Source organism: Homo sapiens, chromosome 7 (assembly GCF_000001405.40).
Source record: "Homo sapiens chromosome 7, GRCh38.p14 Primary Assembly".
Taxonomy (NCBI): domain Eukaryota; kingdom Metazoa; phylum Chordata; class Mammalia; order Primates; family Hominidae; genus Homo; species Homo sapiens.
In genome coordinates, this window is record NC_000007.14 from 2,826,371 (window position 1) to 2,847,212 (window position 20,842).

A 20,842-nucleotide genomic window follows, 5' to 3' on the forward strand; every position below is an offset into this window, starting at 1 on the left:
CATCTCAAAAAAAAAAAAAAAAAAACCAACAAAAGCAAATACTTGTACCATATAATCCAGCAATTAACTGCACTTGAAATGAGTTGAACACTTATGTCTACACAAAAGCCTGCACACAGGTGTTTACCACAGCTTTATTCATAAGTGCCAAAACTTAGGAGTCACCAAAATGTCCTTCAGCAGGTAAATGGATAAACAAAGTGTGGTATATCCATACAAAGGTATACAACTCCATAATGAAAAGAAATAAACTAACATGCCACGGAAAGACACAGAAACCTTAAATATGTATTGCTAAGTGAAAGAAGCCCATGTGAAAAGGCTACATATTCCTGATTCCAACTACAGGACATTCTGGAAAAGGAAAAACGATGGAGACAGTAAACGCTCAGAGGCTGCCAGGGGTTGAGGGGAGACAGGGAAGGAGGGATGAACAGGTAGAACAAGGAGGATTTTTAGGGCAGTGAAACTATTTTGAATGATGCCATAACGGTGGAGACATTTGTCAAAACCCACAGAACTATGCAACACAACGAGTGAACCCTAATGCAAACTATGGACTTCAGTTAATAATATATTCATATTCACTCACAACTTTCCCAACCCTAGCACACTAATGCAAGATGTTACTCACAGGGGAAAACTGGTGTGGGGGAGGCAGGCAGTATGTGGGAAATCTGTATTTTCTGCTCAGTTTTTCTGTAAACCTAAAATTAAGTGATAAAGTATATTAATTTTAAAAAAGTGAAGGAAGCCAGACACAAAAGGTCACATATTATATGATTCCATTTATATGAAATATTCAGAATAGGTAAATTCATGGAGACAGAAAACAGATTAGTGGTTGCCAGGGGCCGGGAGAAGGAGGGAATGGGGAGTCACTACTAACGTGTCCAGATCTCCTTTTGGAGTGATTGGAACGTTTTGGAATTTGATAGAGGTGGTGGGTGAACAACACAGTGAATGTACTAAATGCTACTGAATGTACACTTCCAGATGATTAATTGTATGGTATGTGAATTTTACCTCGATTATTTTAAAAAACAGAGTGAAAACAGAAAGGTTGTATTAACGAAACTTCAGCTGGTCAGGTGAAGTCTGTGATGTCGCGTGAGAATTCAAGCACTGTGGCCCGGACTGAAGGCACCTAAACTGAGGGAATAACCACCAAACTGACTGGAAGGGAACCACAGTGGCTTCTGCATAACCACGCTGAGGACAGTGGGGCTGGGCTGGTCCGTGAGCAGTGCAGAGGACAGAACAGGACTCCTGACTGCAGTGACACCAGGACATGACTTAGAATAGGGCAGATGGCAGGACCAATGTCAGAACCACTCAGAGAAAGGAGTTATAATGAAGGAAAGAATCACCTAATTATAAAAACATACCAAAGAAAATATTCATGTATATCTATCATGAGGTATTGCTAATTAACTACAAAAACATCGCGCAAATTTTTTTAGAAGACTCAATTCAAGATTGAAGTCTTTTAACCTACTTCAAAAACACCTACATTTGAAACATTCTCCCTACCCCCGATACTTTATTTAAAATTTTTTTTAATTAATGAAAGACTAGAAAAAGGGCGTCTTACTTTACCAGAAGAGTTCTAATTTGCTCCAGATAACAGGAAAGAACTCAGGCAAGTTGGTGGCTCTTTTCCTGAAGTTACCAAGAATTAAGAAACAAGACAAGTTTCCAATTAAAAAAGAAAATGCCGAAGATGTTGTGGTCTCCTTGGCAGATATTTACACATTCTAAAAATATTCAAGATTACAAAAATTGTAAAGCAAGATTCAAACCAGAAATTAAAACACCTACAATTCAAAATGAAAACTTCCTGAAAACTGCAGAGGAATACAGGGAGAAAAGGCTTTAAATAATCACTACTGGACAGCTAAATTATATTCCTAAGGATTTGTACTATAAAATAACTATCACCAATGCAGTTTCTAAACTAATGTTTGCTGTAGACAATAGTTATTTTTATTTTTTCAGAGACAGGGTCTCACTCTGTCAACAGCCCGGGCTGGAGTGAAGTGGCACGATCCTAGCTTACTGTAATCTTGAACTGCTGTGCTCAAGCGATCCTCCTGCCTCGGCCTCCCAAACTGCTGGGATTACAGGCATGAGCCTCCACATCCAGCCGGTATTGTTATATGGTACCAGGGACGCAGCTGGGGAAAGATCAAAGTGTTGTCTACCAAGCTGGCTGCAGGTGGCTGCCCCCAAGTCCTCTAGCTCCTGTTACCTTAGGACGCTACGTTAAAACACCAGGAAAGGGAAAACAAAACTATTCCTGCTCTAGTGACTTCAGTTTAGCAGGTGGTCAAAGAAATAAATTTCCCTCTACTCCAATGGAGTCTTCTTTAGTGGATATACCCATATGAAAATGGCCTGCTTGGCCAGGCACGGTGGCTCACGCCTGTAATCCCAGCATTTTGGGAGGCCAAGGTGGGTGGGTTGCTTGAGCTCAGGAGTTTGAGACCAGCCTGGGCAACATGGCAAAATCTACAAAAATCTTAATTTTTCTCTACAAAAATTTTTTAAAAGTGAGCCAGGTGTGGTGGTGTCTGCCTGCAGTCCCAGCTACTTGGGAGGCTGAGGTGAGAGGATGGCTTGGGCCCAGGAGGTGGAGGCTGCAGCGAGCCAAGATCACATCACTGCACTCCAGCCTCGGCGACAGAGCCAGACCCTGTCTCAGGAAAAAAAAAAAAAGAAAAGAAAAAAGAAAATGGTCTGCTCATTGTATGAAGTACAAAGGGCTCACCTCCATGAGAGCAGAGACCAGCTATTCGTACAAAAGGCCCTTTGCTGCTCTTGGCCCTCACAAACAGGTCCCTGCCCCAGGCAGTTTAAAATCAGGCACACAGGAGGAGAAAGCCTAGAATTGGGAAATCCTCCACCCATATTTCCCTCTGTCGGAGAGATAAGAAAAACTAAGGCTTCTTTAAACACTGAGGTTTAGGTTCATGTTTTTTGTGCAAATGCCTGAAGGAGTCCAGTGTCTCTCTGACTCCCAACTCTACAGCCATGGGGACGCTGACAGTGGGTAGGATTCAGAGACATCCCCTTGCATCGTTGTTCATTACTATTCAGTTCCTTCCTGTCTCCGATGCACCTATGAGATCTATGACGATGCTGAGTTTTCAATCTATTACTTCTGCCATTTCCCTGTGCATCTCATGTTAATGCTTTCTCATACCCTGGAGCTCTTGTTTTATATCATCTATATACTTATTATTCTTATACAATATAGAGCACTCTTGGACAGGCTACTTCTCTTTCATAGTTTCTCTTCTTACCCTGTTTTTCATCTGACTTTTGTGTGCTAGTTTTCCTCTCGCCCTCTTTTCTTTAGGGACGGTGTTTCGGAGCTGCCATGTTGTCCCTTTCCAGCATCCCTGTGGTAGCCCTCCACCAGCCTGTTCTCAGACGTGCTCGAGGCCAGTTTTTCCTGATTCTGTTTCTACCTGGTTTGTCTTCTTGGACCAGAGCTAGAGTTTGACAGACAGACGCTGCTTTCAATCCCTGTCTGAGGAAAGGGAGATGATGAGAGCTGGGAACTTGTCTGGGGCTAGTGGATTTTCTCCTGCTAGCTAGTAAGTGTCCCAACCTCCAGTGGACTCCTGCCTCGAGCTGTGGTCAGCACAGAGCTCTGGGTGCCTCCACACTTCCTGGCTCCACCAAGGACCCTTTCCTTTTGAGTGTTCTCCCCGAACTTTTCCCCGGCTTCTATTCCCGACTCTGGGTCTGTTTCTTTCTAGATGGGAAGGTGTCAGAATGTTTAGGGTTGCAATGGCTCTTTCTTGCCTCAATACTACCTTAAGGGACTGGGGCTGGGGTCAGGAAATGCACTACACACCCTAGAATCTTCTTTTTGCCTTGGGTGCTGTGTTCATGCTCATACGAGTCTCAATATTTCTTCCTCTGCTCCCAGTCTAGAATCCATTTGGAAATCAAAACAGGAGTCAGGTGGATGGAGATGAAAATACTGGCCTTCTGACTAAAGAGTCTGGTTTTGGGTTTGTAGCCAAGTAGGCTCCTGACCACTGCCATAGTGGGACAAACGCAGGGGAGGTGGCCCTACAACTCTGGCAGGAGGAAGGCATGTCCCCTGTGGGGAGGGCGGCTCCCAAAGAGAGAACCTGGAGGGAATCTACAGGGCCTGAGCCCCACCTGCTTACTGCCTTCCCCAAAATCCACCAGTCAAGCAAGTCACTCCTTCCCCGAGCAAAGGGGGATAAGGGATGGCAGGAGAGGCAAGAGAATCACAGTAGCTGAGATCTCTCTGCAAGGAAACATGAGGCTAGGAAAGTGAGAATCCCACCCATCAGAGTAAAGCCCAACCTGACCTTACAGGTTTACTCGGAGGATCAAAGACATAACAGATAAGGTGCTTCAAACACACAAGCTCCCTGCCAAGTGGGCTATGGCGGTGTGCACCTGTGTCCTAGCTACCCAGGAGGCTGAGGTCGGAAGATCACTTGAGCCCAGGAGGTCGAAGCTGCAGTGAGCTGTGATTGCACCACTGCACATCAGCCTAGGTGACAGAGCAAGACCCTGTCTCAAAAAAATTAATGAAAAAAAAACAAAAAACAAAAGCTCCCAATGCACAGAGAAGGTATCAAGGTATCATTCCTTCCAGGCCATCTTCTCATCTCCTCAGCTTCTGCAGTACCTAGCACATAAACACACACTTAATAGGCATTTGTTGACTTGCTGTCCCAAGATGATTACTTTTCATGAGGCATCTGCTTTAACTAGTGCGTTCCAGCAGTCCTGGTATGTTTAAAAACAGTCTCATTGTGCTACGGTCATACCAGATAAGTACTGATAAGAAAGTAAATGACCGGTTTTCTATTTCTCAATTCTGACCAGCTCATCTCCCAGGGAGTTTTGCCTCCTGGTCCACATCACTCCATACTTTTAACAGAGTTTTCGATCCATATCTATCTAATCAAGTCATCAGAACCTTAGGGAAAAACAGTTCCTCTCCCCACCCTAAAACTAAAATTATGGAACTTCACTTTCTTTTTTTTTTTTTTTTTGAGATGGAGTCTCACTCTGTCGCCCAGGCTGGAGTGCAGTGGCGCGATCTCTGCTCACTGCAAACTACACCTCCCGGGTTCACGCCATTCTCCTGCCTCAGCCTCCCGAGTAGCTGGGACTACAGGCGCCTGCCACCACGCCCGGTTATTTTTTTGTATTTTTAGTAGAGACGGGGTTTCACCGTGTTAGCCAGGATGGTCTCGATCTCCTGACCTCGTGATCCGCCCGCCTCAGCCTCCCAAAGTGCTGGGATTACAGGCATGAACCACCGCGCCCCGCCTGGAACTTCATTTTCTTAAAAAAAACACAAGTGGTCACAAAAATATAAATAGTTATTAGTCACCTCATGTGCGCCAAAAATTGTAGATATAAAACTGAGCATGAGTGGAAAACACACATTAAAAGTGTTCTTAGTATTATACAAGTAAACATCTGAACCAGCTATTCCCTCTTACCTGTAATGGAAACCGGAAGGCAGGTGAGACTTTAAGTAATGACTCCCTTATCACAAGGGTTTTGCCTGGAATACTGTGTATCTTGTCTACAAAGATGTGCAAAATTTTACCTTAAAATGAATGTAATTTGCATCCCGTGGAGTTGTCAGTGACTGCCAGTATCTCACCTTGACTGAGCATCAAACTGTTTTGTCACAAATTTCTCCGCAGCCCAAATCCCTGATTTTGGCCCCAGGACATCGTTAGACTAGTCCAGGTGGATGTGTTCATCCATCTTATGGACAGTCGAAAGGCCTCTTCCACTAGGCAAGGCCTCCCCTCTCCTCCAAGTGACTTTCCCAGTGATGTTCCGGCTCATGCCCTGTCCTCCCGTTGTGTTTCCTGTCCCCAGAGAAGTGAACTAGGAATCAGCTCCACGAGGCCAGGACTGTGTCTCCTCCACTCACTACCATACACACAGCAGAGCACAAAGCCTAGCTCTGAACGACAGAGCAGGTCCTCCCGTGGACCCCGCATCTAGCCTGGCCTTTCCCAGTTGAGACCAGGCAACCTCCACTGACTGCCCCAAACAGGCACTCGAGGGCTGCGAGGAGTCCACGCCATGCACCATCACTGGAACGTTCCACCACGGTGACGAGAGAATTAGCACAGATTCTTCGGGTCTCAGTGTTCCTCGGGCTTAGTTTCTGTTCGGCTTGGCTTAAGTAGCTATTGATTACCCATGCCTGGCACACTTCCACCAGCAAATACCCACTACAGCTGGTTCTCTGCTGCTGTGGTCTGATTTAACAGGGCCATGTGACAAAGTTGGTGCTGTGGACTTCAGACTAGACAGTAAAATAGATGCTGACGTTCACAGAGAGGTGCCGTCTACTTGGTCTCTACTTAAGAAAGTGGGGGTCAGGGATGTTTTCTTCCCCTTGCCGTCCAGAGCGGCTGGATGTGCTGCCCTCCAGCACCTTTCTAGCTGCTTGCAAGAGCTCCCACCCTCTGCTTCTCTGTCCTCTGGATGCCGCACTTCCAAAGCAGACGTTCCAAATGCATTTGGTCAACAGAATCAACCAGAAGCATGAGCTTCTCTAACGGCTAACACAGGATACAAGTCATGTTTTCCATTCTGCAAAACCTGGACACACCTGAGCATTTATCCTCACAGAGAGAAAGACTAACCCATCACACGGTCAGCAACAAATATTCACATTCGGCTTTTAGGATTAAAAGGCAATCCGGTGGTCCTGAGCAGCTGCTCTGTCCAGCCCACTTGAAGCCTCCATTTCTTTTAAGTACAAACAAACCATAATAGTTACGGCATGAAATGAGCCGGCCTGTCATCATGGGATGGCACTGCCCTTCAGGTGATGCAAGTTAAGCCCTAGGTCCATTACACAACATCAGCTTCTTTGGTTTGAACATCACCCTATAATTACATCTCTAGATAAGGCCGAAGTTTAAATCTTCAGTTCCATTTAAAACCGGTACGATCCATGAACCCACTCTCAACTGAGTAAGAACAGAAAATAATTACGAGCTGTCAACGGAACACTATCTCACATCAAGCACAGCTGGCTTCCAAATCTCACATGACAGATGACTGAAGGTCAAACCCTGCTCCCCCTAATTATTTCGTTAAGATAATCAACATGTAAACTCGAAAGCCAGGGGACAAGACCAATCACTCATGTGTTCTGAATCCCCAAAAATGGCCAGAGGAGTCTCTCTGGACTTAGTTAGCTGACGGAAAAAGATGTTTTTGCATTTGTTTTGTTTGGTTTTTTGGTATTACGAAAGGACCAACCCCGTATGTCAAAGCATAAGGTAAACCTGTTAAATGCAATTTGCCAACAAGGCCATAAAAACCAAACTGTGCTTCCAGACCCCAGAAGCAGATGTATGCTTCTGCCGCCACGCAAACCCGCCGCAGCATCAAGCCTAAAGAGGCACTTCTGAACTCCCAAGACAGAGACTCTTAAAGGCCAGAACAGCAGAGGAGGCTGCTTCAAAGTTCCGTACGTCCTGGCAAAAAGTACATGTGATACAGCAAACAATTCTTCAAAAAAAAAATTTAATTTCCAAAATTTTTACATAATCTTTGATATTCCACAACAAAAGCTGTTAACCTGCAGTGCATGGGCCACTAGTAGGCCCACTCTTGGGATTCCGGATGTCCAAACACTCCCCTGAAACCCTACACAGATACATGAATTTTCTAGGGAGAAGACCCACAGCTTTCAGCTAGAGTGCTGCGACTGCAGTCCAAAGAAAGCCACCACATTACAACCACTCCTTTGGACTAGAAAGTTCTGATTCTTTAGTATCTCTATGTATTCGAATTTTCTGTCTTAGCTGATAAATGTAGAGGCATTAAGATGGTTCTCATTTGTGTATTCTTCTCCACTTGCTGAAATCCTACAAAACCTTCAAAGGCCAGCTCAAATCACAATTCAATAAGGCTTTTTTAGATACCTCAGCCAGAATTAATCTTCCCACTGGCCTCCTGCAACACCTCTCCAGTGGCATTTACCATGGTATCCATTCACGCTGTATGTTAAAGTTACTTGTGCAACTGTCTCCCCAGCTTGAGAGTGCGAGTGGAGAGTAGGGGCTCTGCAATATGCACTGAATATCCCTTCTGCATCAGCACCTAGCACAATGCCGTGGAGATTTTGTTGAACTTGATCTTTTTGTTTCAGTGGCAACAAGAGACCACCCACTCTAATCATCTAATTCTTCAAAAAGTTTCTAAAATCAGCCAAACAGTCACGCACTGCATAATGATGTTTTGGTAAAAGATGAACCACATATACGATGGTGGTCCCATAAGGTTATAACACCAGATTTTTACAGCACGTTTTCTATGTTTAGATACATAAATGCTTGCCATTGTGCTACAATGGCCCACAGTATTCAGTATAGTAACATGCGGTACAGGTTTGCAGTCTGGGAGCAATAGGCCTAGGTATACGGTCAGCTATATTATCTAGGTTTGTGTAGGTCCACTCTAGGATGTTTGCGTAAGAACCTCACCTAACGATGCATTTCCTGGACGGGATCCCAGTCGTTAAGCAATGCGTGACTATGCATCGCGATGCATGACTATACATTGCGATGCGTGACTATACATCTGCATATAAGACAAGTCTACCTTGGGGTGGCTAAAGGCTACACTAATGCAATCATGTGGATGGTTAGGACTTCTAGTCTATATAACAAGGAACCTTCAGACAGCTAACATTTTATCCACTTCTAACTGGATGTGAAATTTAGTAATGAAAACGCTCTTGGGATTTAACGCATCACACATAAGTCAGGGAATGGAAGCACTGTGAGATAAATCTAAGCTGGCCTGATGTCTTCCAACAGCCTGAGGCACACCCCACCACCAGAGGCATTATTACACAACTTCGGGAACACCAAATACACAAACTTTAAGGACAGCCCAGTCAGGAAGTGACGAGATATCATCTGTAGAATTAGAAAAATAAAAAGAATAAACTAGGCTGTTCCCCACACCCCCATTGATGTTGGCCCACGGGGGTTGCCGGTCCCTTTAACTGGCATGTACCAAGTCCTTCCAGGTGACATTTCCTCCCTGTGTCCCAGCTTTTAGGGATCATTGGCCATGGGTCCAAGGGGAGGGAATGTGGAGACAGGGTTGTATTTGCCAGGGAATTCTGGGCCGACAGGGAGCAAGAGCGCGCTTGGGGGCAAAGTCCCATTGTCTCATGCTGTTCTCCAGTCCCGAGATGGTGGCCACCATGAAGAAGACGGCTGCAGAAGATGTCAATGTTACTTTCGAAGAGCAACAAAAGATAAACAAATTTGCATGGAATACAAGTAGAATCACAGAGCTGAAGGAAGAAATAGAAGTAAAACAGAAACAACTCCAAAACGTAGAAGATGCTCGTGACGGTACCATGCTTGCAGATGCTGACTGCTTAATGATGCCTTATCAAATCGGTGATGTCTTCATTAGCCATTCTCAAGAAGAAACACAGGAAATGTTAGAAGCAGCAAATAAAAATTTGCAAGAAGCAACTGACGCCTTAGAATCCAAAGTCGAAGCAATTCAGTGGGTGTGAGCAGATTTGAAAGTTCAGTTGTATGCAAAATTTGGGAGCAGCATAAACCTTGAAGCTGATGAAAGTTAAACATTTTATAATACTTAAAAAAATTTGTTTAATAAACTTGATTATTGTTTAAGAAAAAAAGAATAAACTAGAAAGTCTTACTGGCAATCTTTACAAAAAAATCAAAGCAACTAGTAGATTCAAATAATGAACTGCAGAGGATAGAGTGAGGTAATGAAGTCCTCGCACTATCTAACAGAAATCCTATGTGCAAATTCAGGCACAACTGTGATCAAGATGGAAAAGCCCCAGACACTGAGTAAAAAGACCAGGATGATGGAGACTTCCACAAAGTAACAGCTCTACTCCTCCCAGGTCTGCCCCCTTACAGCTAAAAAGAAAGTTCTGAATGTAACACAACCAGCAAGTGCAGAAAGCAGGTGGAAAGAAGGCGGCAGGCTACCCAGCGACCTCAGGACTTGAGGGATGACAAGGCAGTGAGTTCTCTGGGTGTCCTTACTGCCTCCTACTTACCCAGGATGGGCGCTGCAGAAGCCTCCAAGCTGGAACAGCCAAAAGGTACAGAGAAAAAGAACTCCAAGAAGAGCCTGTTCTTGGCCAAAGGACCCAGAAAAGGATGCTCTTACAACAGCAGACCTTTTTGGCAATGCCCGTCCTATTCCAAATAACAAGAGAAGGCCAGGTGCGGTGGCCCACACCTGTAATCCCAGCACTTTGGGAGGCCGAGGCGGGTGGATCACCTGAGGTCAGGAGTTCGAGACCAGCCTGGCCAACATGGTGAAGTCCCATTTCTACTAAAAATACAAAAATTAGCTGGGCATGGTGGTGCGTGCCTGTAGTCCCAGCTACTTGGGAGGCTGAGGCAGGAGAATCGCTTGAACCTGGGTGGCGGAGGTTGCAGTGAGCCAGGATTGCGCCACTGCACTCCAGCCCGGGCAACAAGAGCGAAACTCCATCTCAACAACAACAAAAAACAAATACAAGAGAAAACATCAGCAGAGAAACCACATATACCACCCACTGAGGTTTCAGTGGAATTGAGGGGGAAATTGATCTTCTACCCTCAAGGAACCAGGTGACATGCTCCAAGTGGCATGTCAAATAGTGCTGGCAGGGCCAAGCAGGGATCTCACCTCCCATTCTCTGCCTGGAAGAAGCAGGAGGTGCTCCAATTCCCTCACCAGGGTGGTGTCAGCAGGGCCCAGTGGGGAAGTGCACCCCCACCACGAGGCAGAAAGAGGGGATGGGAGGGTGGGAGGGGGGAAGGCTGGATTAGCTGTCGCTTTGCTACCCCCTCCCATTCCCTAGAATCAGCAACGCCCAGAGGGGAGCTGATGTTCCAACCCCACTCAACAAGGCCACAGGGTCTCAGAGACCCGGAGGTCATTAACAAAAGTGCTAACAGCCGTATGTCAGAGTCCCAGAAGGAGATGAGAGAGAGGGACTGAAATAGTCATTCAAGAAATAATGGCTGAAAACTTCCCACATTTGGCAAGAGACATAAATGTACAGATTCAAGAAGCCAAGCAAACCCCAAATATAATAAATGGGATGAAGCCTGTGCCAAGACAAATCATAATGAAACTTCTGAAAACTAAACATAAAACTCTTCAAAGCAGCCAGAGAGGAGCAATGCATGAACTCGGAGAGGAGACCAACTCAAACGACAGTAGATTTCTCTTCTGAAACAATGTGAAGGTATCCTTCAGGAATGAAGAGGAAATACAGGCATTCTTGGACAAAGGAAAGCTAAGAGAATCTGTTGCAAGCAAACTGATCGTTAAAGAATGGCTAAAGGAAGTTCTCTAAACAGAAAGGAAATGACAACAGAAGAAGGCTTAGAGCCTCAGAAAGAAGACCATCAGAATAGGTAATAAAAAAAAAAGGGACAATTTTATTCAGTCAAAAGGGGGGAAAAGATAATATAATCTCCTACTCCTAATGAGTTTTTAAAATCACAGTTGATGACTGAAGTAAACCACCTGATGTGGCATTCAAAGTCTGTTAAGTGCTAAGACATTTATAGTGAAGTGGGGTGGGTAAATGGGCCCAAGCAGAAGTAAAGTTTCTACACTTAAAGCTGTAAAACATCAGGGCCAGGAGACTGGGATCAGTTACACATGTATACTGCAAACCTAAGGCAACTACCAAGAAAATAATACAAAGCATTATACTTAAAAAAAAAAATCAATCAGCCAGGGAGGACAGTTCATGCCTGTAATCTCGGCACTTTGGCCAGGAGACTGGGATAAGTTACATATGTATACTGTAAACCTAGGGGAACTACCAAGAAAATAATACAAAGCATTATACTTAAAAAAAAAAAAAAATCAGCCAGGGAGGATCGCTCATGCCTATAATCTCGGCACTTTGGCTGAGGCAGGAGGATGGCTTTGAGGCTAGCAATTCAAGAGCACCCTAAGTAACATAGTGGAACCCTATCTACAAAAAATAAATATAGATTAAAAATTAGCTGGGTGTGGTGGTGCACATCTGTAGTCCCGGCTACTAGGGAGGCTGAGGTGGGAGGATGGTTTGGGTCCAGGAGGTCAAGACTACAGTGAGCCATGATCGTGCCACTGCGCTTCAGCCTAGGCAATAGCAAAAGACCTTGTCTCTAAGATAGTAACAGTCATAATAATGACTTTACCCTAAATGTAAAGAGTGGATTAAAAAATATGATGCAACAATATGCTGTCTATATGAAACTCACTTCAAAACAAGGGTATTAAAAGAATGGAGAAATATATATTATGAAAGCATTAATAAAAACATAAGTGGCTATATTAAAATATCTGATAATGGAGACTTCAAAGAAAATTACTGGAGAAAAAAGAAGGACATTACATAATAAAAAAGGTTAATCTATCAAGATATAATAATCCTAAACATTTATGCACCACACAACAGAACCTCAAAATACAGGAAACAAAAACTGATAGAGCTAAAGAAGAAATAGACAAATCCACAATTATAGTTGAGGACTCTTAACTGACAGAACTACTGAACAATCAGCAAGCATATAGAACTCAACACCACTATCAATCAAGATCTGACACATGTAGAACATTCCGCCAAACGAGCATACGCGTTTATCATGTACTTACGGGATGTTCACCAACAAAAGACCACAGAACATCTGCCAAATAGACCGTATCCTAGGCCAGAAAACAAACCAATACATTTAAAAGAAGTGAAACCATACACAGTATACTCTCTGTCCATAGTGGAGTCGAACCAGAAATCAACAAAAGAGAGACAACAGGAAAATCTTTTCTTTTTTTTTGAGGCAGGATCTTACTCTGTCGCCCAGGATAAAGTGCAGTGGCACGATGTTGGCTCACTGCAACCTTTGCCTCCCAGGTTCAAGTGATCCTCCCACCCGCCTCCCAGGTTCAAGTGTGCACCACCACACCCGGCTAATTTGTTTGTTTTTGAAATGGAGTCTTGCTCTGTCGCCCAGGCTGGAGTACAGTGGCGTGCTCTCTGTGCACTGCAACCTATGCCTCCTAGGTTCAAGTGATTCTCCTGCCTCAGCCTACTGAGTAGCTGGGATTACAGGCACCTGCTACTGCACCCAGCCAATTTTTGTATTTTTTGTAGAGATGGGGTTTCACCATATTGCCCAGGTTGGTCTTGAACTCCTGGGTTCAAGCAATCTGCCTGTCTTGGCCTCCCAAAGTGCTGGGATTACAGGCATGAGCCATTGCACCTGGCCATGACATGTATGAAATGACAAAATTATCGAATTAAAGAACAGAGGCGGGGCACGGCGTCTCACATCTGGCACTTTGGGAGGCCGAGGCGGGTGGATCACGAGGTCAGGAGTTGGGGATCAGCCTGGCCAACATGGTGAAACCCCGTCTCTACTAAATACACAAAAATTAGCTGGACGTGGTGGTGGGCGCCTGTAATCCCAGCTACCTGGGAGGCTGGGACAGGAGAATCGCTTGAACCCCGGGGCGGAGGTTGCAGTGAGCTGAGATTGTGCCACTGCACTCCAGCCTGGGCGACAGAGCAAGACTGTCTCAAAACAACAACAGAATAGATTATTCACTGCCAGGGTCTGGGACAGGAAGGGGAGAGAGTGGCTACAAAAGAGCAACATGAAGGGTCCTTCTCTGATGGAAAGGCTCTGTATCGTGACTGTATCGACGTCAATATCCTGGTTGTAAGATTGTGCTATCTAGTTCTACAGAACATAATCACTGAGGGAAAGCTGGCAGAGGGTATGTGGGATCTCTACTATTTCTTACAACTGCATAGGACTCCAGAATTATCTCAAAATCAAAAGTTTAATTTTTAAAAAAGGCATGTTTAGTTCCTAGCTCTGCCATCTGCTAATTAGGTAGCTGACTTTGAACAGATTTTAATGTCTCTATCCTCAATTTCCTCATTCACTAAATGAGGTAATACCATCTGAAGCATTATGAAAATTCAACACCATATTTGAAAGGATCAGGCACGATGTGTACAGCACACAGTCCGTGCTCTAGAAGGAGCCTGTCAACACTAACCCTCTATATAGCCACAAGTATTATTCTAAATGGTATCATTCAAATGTCCAGTACTAAAGGCACTGCAGAGCAATTTATTTAAAGTCCCTTCCCTGGCCAAGTTTAGTATTTCACACATGTAATCCCAGCACTTTGGGAGGCTGAGGCAGGTGGTTCGCTTGAGTTCAAGAGCTCAAGACCAGCCTGGGCAACATAGTGAGACCCCATCTCTACAAAAATGAGCTGGGTGTGGTGGTACACACCTACAGTCCCAGCTACTTGGGAGGCTGAGGTGGGAGGATTGCTTGAGCCCACGAGGCGACGCAAGGCCACAGTGAGCCATAATCCTGCCACTGCACTCCAGCCTGGGTGACAGAATGAGACTCTGTCTCAAAAAATAAAAATAAAAAAATAAAATAGTCTCTTCTCAAAGTGATCTGTTCGAATAAAAATGCGGGGGTGGGGGCTGAAGAGGAGGAAACGATTTTTGGTTTTAAATTGAAAGATGAATTTCTAACTTGTTATTGAAATGGTCACGACACATGAAGTGAGTTTAATATGGAACTATAATTAGTAAAAAACAAAGCTGGAAAGAAGAACTAGGATACCAGTTAACACATTTTGTTTCTGCTGATAAGAAAGTCAGTGGAAGTTAGTGTTTCTATGCATCAGGAGGTTGAGTTTTCTTTTTTTCTTTTTCTTTTTTTTGAGACGGAGTCTCGCTGAGTTGCCCAGGCTAAAGTGCAGTGGTGCGATCTCGGCTCACTGCAAGCTCCGCCTCCCGGGTTCACCCCATTCTCCTGCCAGGAGGTTGAGTTTTCTAACACGCACTTCATACAGGGATTTAGATTTCAGATTCTATGTTTCCAAATACTTTCTCCATCTACTGAGTTGGAAGAAACTAGAGACAGTCAAACTGCTATACTTTTATGCCTGCCTGGTTCTGAGGTCTGGGCAAGCAGCAACAATAAAATCAGGATCTTTAACAGAGAAGTTACAGGGCAGGCCCTGAGACAGCCAAATGCACTTGAACACAGACGCTCCCAGTGAGCTAAGCTGGGCACCTAGTCTTCAAAGTTCACGAAGTATCTGACCAGAGCTCTGACGCACCGAGAGGCTTGGAAAGAGGTAAAATGAAAAAGGGTGTTTTATCAAATTATTTTCTTCCCTTCACAATCCTAAAGGAGCTCTATTAAAATGAAACATTTCCATGAGAAGTATGTCAAGTGCGAATACTGGCCTGGAAGTCTGGAGGCCAGGATTCCAGCACAGAGACCCCAGGAAGGAGTCACTTCATCTCTAGGGCTGAGGCAGGAGTCCTTATGGGTAAGTGATACAAATGTACCCGATAGGTTTCTACGGGGCTTTGCTAAATTTAAAATCTCCCAGGCACCATAAAACCTAGTCTCCAGGCAGGTTTTCTGGCATGGCAAACTTCTCTCCGACTCTGCTTTGAGATGATTGTCCTCGCCTCTAACTTGGTTTCCCCAAAATGGGCTGGGGAAAAAGTGGTGAGGGGACAAGGAAAGGGTAGAGAGGTAGGGAGGGAGGGAGAAAGGAAGGGAGGAAGGAAGAAAAGAAAAAAGGAAGGAAGGTAGAAAGAAAGGAAGAAAAGGAAGGCGGGAAGGAAAGGAAGGAAAGGAAGGAAGGGAAGGGAGGAAGAAAAGAAAGGAAGGAAAGAAAAGAAGGAAAGGAAGGAAGGAAAAAGGGAGGGAGGACAAAGGACGCTATCTAGGTGTAAGCAAGGCTGCACTGTTCCCTCATCATCAGTTTCCTCCAGATCTTCCTTGAGGCCCTTTAACACAGGCTCACGGTACTGAGAGACTGGAACCCCGACTTTATCAACTCTATGGTTCTTTTATTTTTTTTCACTGCCACTCAGGCTGGAGTGCAGTGGCCCAAACATGGCTCACTGCAGCCTCAACCTCCCAGGCTCAACCAATTCTCCTACCTCAGCCGCTCAAGCAACTGGGACTACAGGTGCATTCCACCATGCCCAACTAATGTGTTCATTTTTGTGGCACTGAGGTCTTGCTGTGTTGCCCAGGTTGGTCTCAAACTTCTGGCCTCAAGTGATCCTCCTGCCTCAGCTTCCCAAAGTGCAGGGATTACAGGCACGAGCCATCACACCTGGCCGACTTCTACAGCTTCTTTCACAAATATGGCGAAGAGAAAAAAGGAAGCAAGAGACAGGAGAATCTGGAGATTCATTGCAATGCATGTCGAGTCACACAAAACAATTATGCCACAATGGAGGAATTCTGAACACTGGATATCTGGTGATAATGAGCTATTACTAATGTTTAGGTTTGCTAATGGTACTGCGGTTGTGTTTTTACATGGAGGCCTCATCTTTTAGCCACTCATATACATCCTAAAACGTTTCCTAATCCAACTACACAAAGTTGGATTTGCTTGGAGACCATGGGGAGGGCACAGGTGAATAGGATTGGCACAGAATTGATGACTGCTTTAGTTGGGCTGTAGGTACTTTACAGTCAATCTACTATTTTCTCTACTTTTGTATACATTTGAAGTTTTCGTATTAGAAAGTGTGGCTCACACCTGTAATCTCAGCACTTTGGGAGGCCCAGGTGGGAGGATGGCTTGAGACCAGCCTGGGCAAGAGAGTGAGAGCCTTTCTAAAAAAACAGAAAAGTAAAAAGAGACTCATGGCTGGTTCCCGTCCAGTCTCCACTGCTCTTCTTCTAAGCTCAGCCGGAGGGCACGGCCGGTTGGGCTCCTATCCCACAAATCTTCCAGTGGGAAATGGACAGATACCATTCTGCTAGGGCACATCCAGGAGGGGGCTAAGTGCCAAGCCCCCACTCCCCATCCCCAGAAGCTGGCCCGAGTTCCCACTCCCACGGTCCCCAGGCACCCTAGAGAGGGCAGAGGCAGACCGGGCGCCATGACTCATGCCTATAATCCCAGCACTTGAGGGAGACCAAGGCAGGAGGATCACTTGAGGCCAGGAGACTGAGACCAGCCTGGGCAACACAGCAAGACCCCATCTCTACAAAAAAAAACTTAAAAATTAGCTGGGCTGGTGGTGCGCGCCTGTAATCCCACTACTTCGGGAGGCTAAGGAGGGAGTAGGGCTTGAGCCTGGGAGGTCGAGGCTGCAGTGAGCTGTGAGGGCGCCACTGCACTCAAGCCTGGGAAACACAGCGAGACCCCATCTCAAAAAGGGCGAGACGGGGTGGGGCAGAGACGACGCCAGCAGGCCTCGGGGAATGGGTCGGGGGGGAGTGGGGTGCAGGCGGGGCTGGATCCAGCATCCTCGCCCCAGGGGTCCCCGCCCGCGGCGGCGGACCACGGAGGGGCCCGGGGCGGGGGTTAGCGCCCCGGCCCACCTGGGTGCAGGTGCTGGGCGGGGGGCGCGCGTCACCTTGAGGATGTTGTCGAAGATGGTGTCGCGGAACTCCAGCAGCGCCTTCTGGTCGAACTCGCGGCCGTGGATGATGCGCATCTGCTTGAGGAACGTGGACTTGCCGCTCTCGCCCGCGCCCAGCAGCAGGATCTTCACCAGGCGCCGGACCGCGCGCCGCTCGCGGGCCAGCAGCGCGTCGATGTCGCGGCTACGCCTCCGGGCCTCGCGCTCCGCGTCGCGCGCGCCGCTGCCCGCCCTGCGCTCGCGGGCCCCGCCGGCCTCGGCCGGCAGCAGGCAGCGGCTGAGGGTCCGCACCACCCCGGACATGGCCCCTCAGGCCGCGGCCGCGCCCCGCCGGCGCCCGGGGGCCATGGACGCTCCCGCCGGCGAGGGCGAGCCCGGGCCGAGGCACCGCCCCACGCCCCGCCGCTCGCCTCAGGCCGCGTCCGCCGCCGCCGCTGCAGTCGCTCCGAGGCCCGCACTCGTCGCCCGGCCGCCACTCGGGCCCGGCGGAGGGGCGGGCGGCGCCGCGTGAGGCCCGGCGGATTGGGCCGGCTGCCGTCCATCTGGCCGTGAGAGCCCTTCGATTGGCTCATCTCGCCAAGGGAGGCGGGCATCCCTTCCGGCCTCGGGGCGGGGTCGACGCCGAAAGAGGCGGGATCTTTGAGGTGAAGGCGCTTCTCATTGGACGCCCAGGCTGAGGTTCTTTCTTTCAGAATGAAAGGGAGGCGGGGTCGCCCGGGAGGCGGAGCGATCGTCCGCCATGGCCAATTATAATTGCTCTGAGTGGACATCAGACGTGCCCAACGGGCTTTGGATTGGGTGTTCGGGGGACGGGGCGTGACGAGAAGTGCCAGGTGTACAGAAAGATTCTCCCTTGGTTCCCAGATTGGGTCCGCCTGTGAGACCAGGACCTCGCGGAGTAGCCCAAAGGCTGGGAAATGCTGATAAGAGGTTCAGCTGCTCGTCGTATTCCCTCCGATGATCTTGTTTCTACACTATTTTCCTTCCAGAAACACTGGAGGGGGATGGGCCATAAATTTCAAACACATGCACCCTTTGAGAGTGGCATGGGCTTCTAGGAGGCTTTGCGAAAAGCTGACTAATCACTAAAATCACCAGAAGCTCCCCCAAAAGTCTTATGTCTCACAGTGATTGAGAGAGTGGGGTCTGGAGTTGCTGGGCCTGAGTTGGAATCTCCAGTCGACCAGTTACTAGGTGTACTAGTTGCATAACTTTTTTTAGCAGCTTTCCCCACCCCCCCCAACAAACCCTTTTGGATGTTCTTAGCTTCCGTTTCCTCATCTGTAAAACGGGGGTGTCATTGACGACATTGGTTATGGCTTGACATTGCTCAAATCGTCATGAAGATATAAACTGAGAACATGAACTTACCAAACACTTAGCACGTGAGCTAGCCCAAAATCAGCTCTTGATAGAGATCAGCTGATTACAGATTCTTGACTCTCCCAGATCTACTGAATCAGAACCTCCTAGAAGGAGCTCAGGTATCCCTTAAGATTAAAGGCGTGAGCCGCCGCGCCTGGCCCAGTGTGTAGTCTTTTATCTCTCGCCACCCCCCACCTTTTACCCTGAGTCCCCAAAGTCCAATCTCTGTGCGGTGTCTGTTAACTCTGCTGATTATTTCTTTTGCAGTGCCGAAGCTTTTTAGTTTAATTAAGTCCCATCTATTTATCTTTGTTTTTGTTGCATTTGCTTTTGGGTTCTTGGTCACAAAGTCTTTGCCTAAGCCAACGTCTAGAAGGATGTTTCCGATGTTATCTTCTAGAATGTTTATGGTTTCAGGTTGTAGATTTAAGTCTTTGATCTATCCTGAGTTGATTTTTGTATAACGTGAGAGACGAGGATCCAGTTTTATTCTTCTACATGTGGCTTGCCAATTATCTCAGCACCATTTGCTGAATAGGCTGTCCTTTCCCCACTTTGTTTTCATTTGCTTTGTTGAAGATCAGTTGGCTGTAAGTATTTGGCTTCATTTCTGGGTTCTCTATTATGTTCCATTGGTCTCTGTGCCTATTTTTATATTAGTACCATGCTGTTTTTGTGACGATAGCCTTATAGTATAGTTTGAAGTCAGGTAAAGTGATGCCTCCAGATTTGTTCTTTTTGCTTAGTCACAGATCTAAACTCCCCAGAAGGCTGGGCACGGTGACTCACAACTACAGTCCCAGCAGTTTGAGATGCTGAGGTGGGAGGATCACTTGAGCCCAGGAGGTCAAGGGTGCAGTGACCTATGATCGTGCCACTGTACTCCAGCCTGGACAACGGAGCAAGACCCTGTTTCAGAAACAAAACAAAACAAAAACCAACTCCCTGACAACCTTGAATGCACATAATATGTATTATTTGTCACTTGCTACAAATACTACAAATCATGCCATGAATTTGTATCACTTATGAGTCAAGATTTTGTAATCCTTGGAAAATGATTAGAAAGTCTTGCTTGTTTGTGGAAATGACCTCCCATAGGAGGCCAAATATGGCTGGGCACGGTGGCTCATGCCTGTAATCCCAGCACTTTGGGAGGCCAAGGCAGGCAGATTATCTAAGGTCAGGAGTTCAGGACCAGCCTGGCCAACATGGCGAAACCCTGTCGCTACTAAAAAATACAAAACTTGGTTGGGTGTGGTGGCGGGCGCCTGTAATCCCAGCTACTGGGGAGGCTGAGATAGGAGAATTGATTGAACCCGGGAGGCGGAGGTTGCAGTGAGCCGAGATCGCACCATTGCACTCCAGCCTGGGCAACAAGAGCAAAACTCTGCCTCAAAAAAACAAAAAAAAAAAAACAAAAACGGGAAGGCCAAATACTAGGTCTGGCATGGTAGCTCACACCATGTAATCCCAGCACTTTGTGAGGCTGTAATCCCAGCACTTTGTGAGGCTGAGGTGGGCAGATCACTTGAGGCCAGGAGTTTGAGACCAGCCTGGCCAACATGGTGAAACCTCCATCTCTATTAGAAATACCAAAATGAGCCAGGCATGGTGGTGAACGCCTGTAATTCCAGTTACTTAGGAGGCTGAGGCATGAGAATTGCTTGATCCCAGGAGGCTGAAGTGGCAGTGAGCTGCGATCACACCACTGCACTCCAGCCTGGGCAACAGAGCAGGACTCTGTCTCAAAAAGAAAAAAAAAAAAGAAAAAAAAAAAAAAGGCCAAACACTAGTATTGAAATAGAAGGGAGGAGAAATTGGAGAATCCAAAGAAAGCAATGTTTCTGAGACAGAAATAGGGAATTTTGAATCACTAAAGAGTGGACTAGAATTCAGAACAGGTTTTTGGCTCATCCAGTTCACACAGGGTTTATTCCTCATTCAGTTTTAAGAAATTAAGAAAAACTGATTCACAAAACAGTTTCA

At 46.5% G+C, this 20,842-nt stretch overlaps 1 protein-coding gene and 1 pseudogene across 2 annotated transcripts in view, besides 7 other annotated features; one reads left to right on the forward strand and one right to left on the reverse strand.

Moving 5' to 3' along the window:
* The window catches only part of GNA12 (G protein subunit alpha 12), a 116,204-nt gene extending 98,266 nt beyond the window's left edge, over positions 1–17,938 (reverse strand). For both annotated transcript variants that reach the window (NM_001293092.2, NM_007353.3), the window contains exon 1: positions 17,483–17,938. In NM_001293092.2, the coding sequence (NP_001280021.1) occupies positions 17,483–17,791 (309 nt within the window). In that variant the 5' untranslated portion in view covers positions 17,792–17,938. The remainder of the gene's footprint in view (positions 1–17,482) is intronic.
* PFDN4P1 (PFDN4 pseudogene 1) lies at positions 9,239–9,715 on the forward strand (annotated as a pseudogene).
* Positions 12,936–13,105: an enhancer, noted in NCBI's record as "active region_25553". NCBI's record gives its function as "activates an Ori minimal core promoter by ATAC-STARR-seq in GM12878 lymphoblastoid cells {active_cell/tissue: GM12878}" and the evidence as "EXISTENCE:reporter gene assay evidence [ECO:0000049][PMID:35858748]".
* Positions 17,245–18,062: an enhancer, noted in NCBI's record as "H3K27ac-H3K4me1 hESC enhancer chr7:2883249-2884066 (GRCh37/hg19 assembly coordinates)". NCBI's record gives its function as "activates a minimal SCP1, AML or CMV promoter by ChIP-STARR-seq in naive H9 embryonic stem cells {active_cell/tissue: H9 hESC(naive)}" and the evidence as "EXISTENCE:reporter gene assay evidence [ECO:0000049][PMID:30033119]".
* Positions 17,245–18,319: a biological region, named in NCBI's record as "H3K27ac-H3K4me1 hESC enhancer GRCh37_chr7:2883249-2884066".
* Positions 17,412–17,461: a silencer, noted in NCBI's record as "silent region_17885". NCBI's record gives its function as "represses an Ori minimal core promoter by ATAC-STARR-seq in GM12878 lymphoblastoid cells {active_cell/tissue: GM12878}" and the evidence as "EXISTENCE:reporter gene assay evidence [ECO:0000049][PMID:35858748]".
* Positions 17,802–18,131: a silencer, noted in NCBI's record as "silent region_17886". NCBI's record gives its function as "represses an Ori minimal core promoter by ATAC-STARR-seq in GM12878 lymphoblastoid cells {active_cell/tissue: GM12878}" and the evidence as "EXISTENCE:reporter gene assay evidence [ECO:0000049][PMID:35858748]".
* Positions 18,025–18,319: an enhancer, noted in NCBI's record as "tiled region #5898; HepG2 Activating non-DNase unmatched - State 4:PromP, and K562 Activating DNase unmatched - State 4:PromP". NCBI's record gives its function as "activates a minimal TATA promoter and a strong SV40 promoter by Sharpr-MPRA in HepG2 and K562 cells {active_cell/tissue: HepG2 | K562}" and the evidence as "EXISTENCE:reporter gene assay evidence [ECO:0000049][PMID:27701403]".
* Positions 18,302–18,431: an enhancer, noted in NCBI's record as "active region_25554". NCBI's record gives its function as "activates an Ori minimal core promoter by ATAC-STARR-seq in GM12878 lymphoblastoid cells {active_cell/tissue: GM12878}" and the evidence as "EXISTENCE:reporter gene assay evidence [ECO:0000049][PMID:35858748]".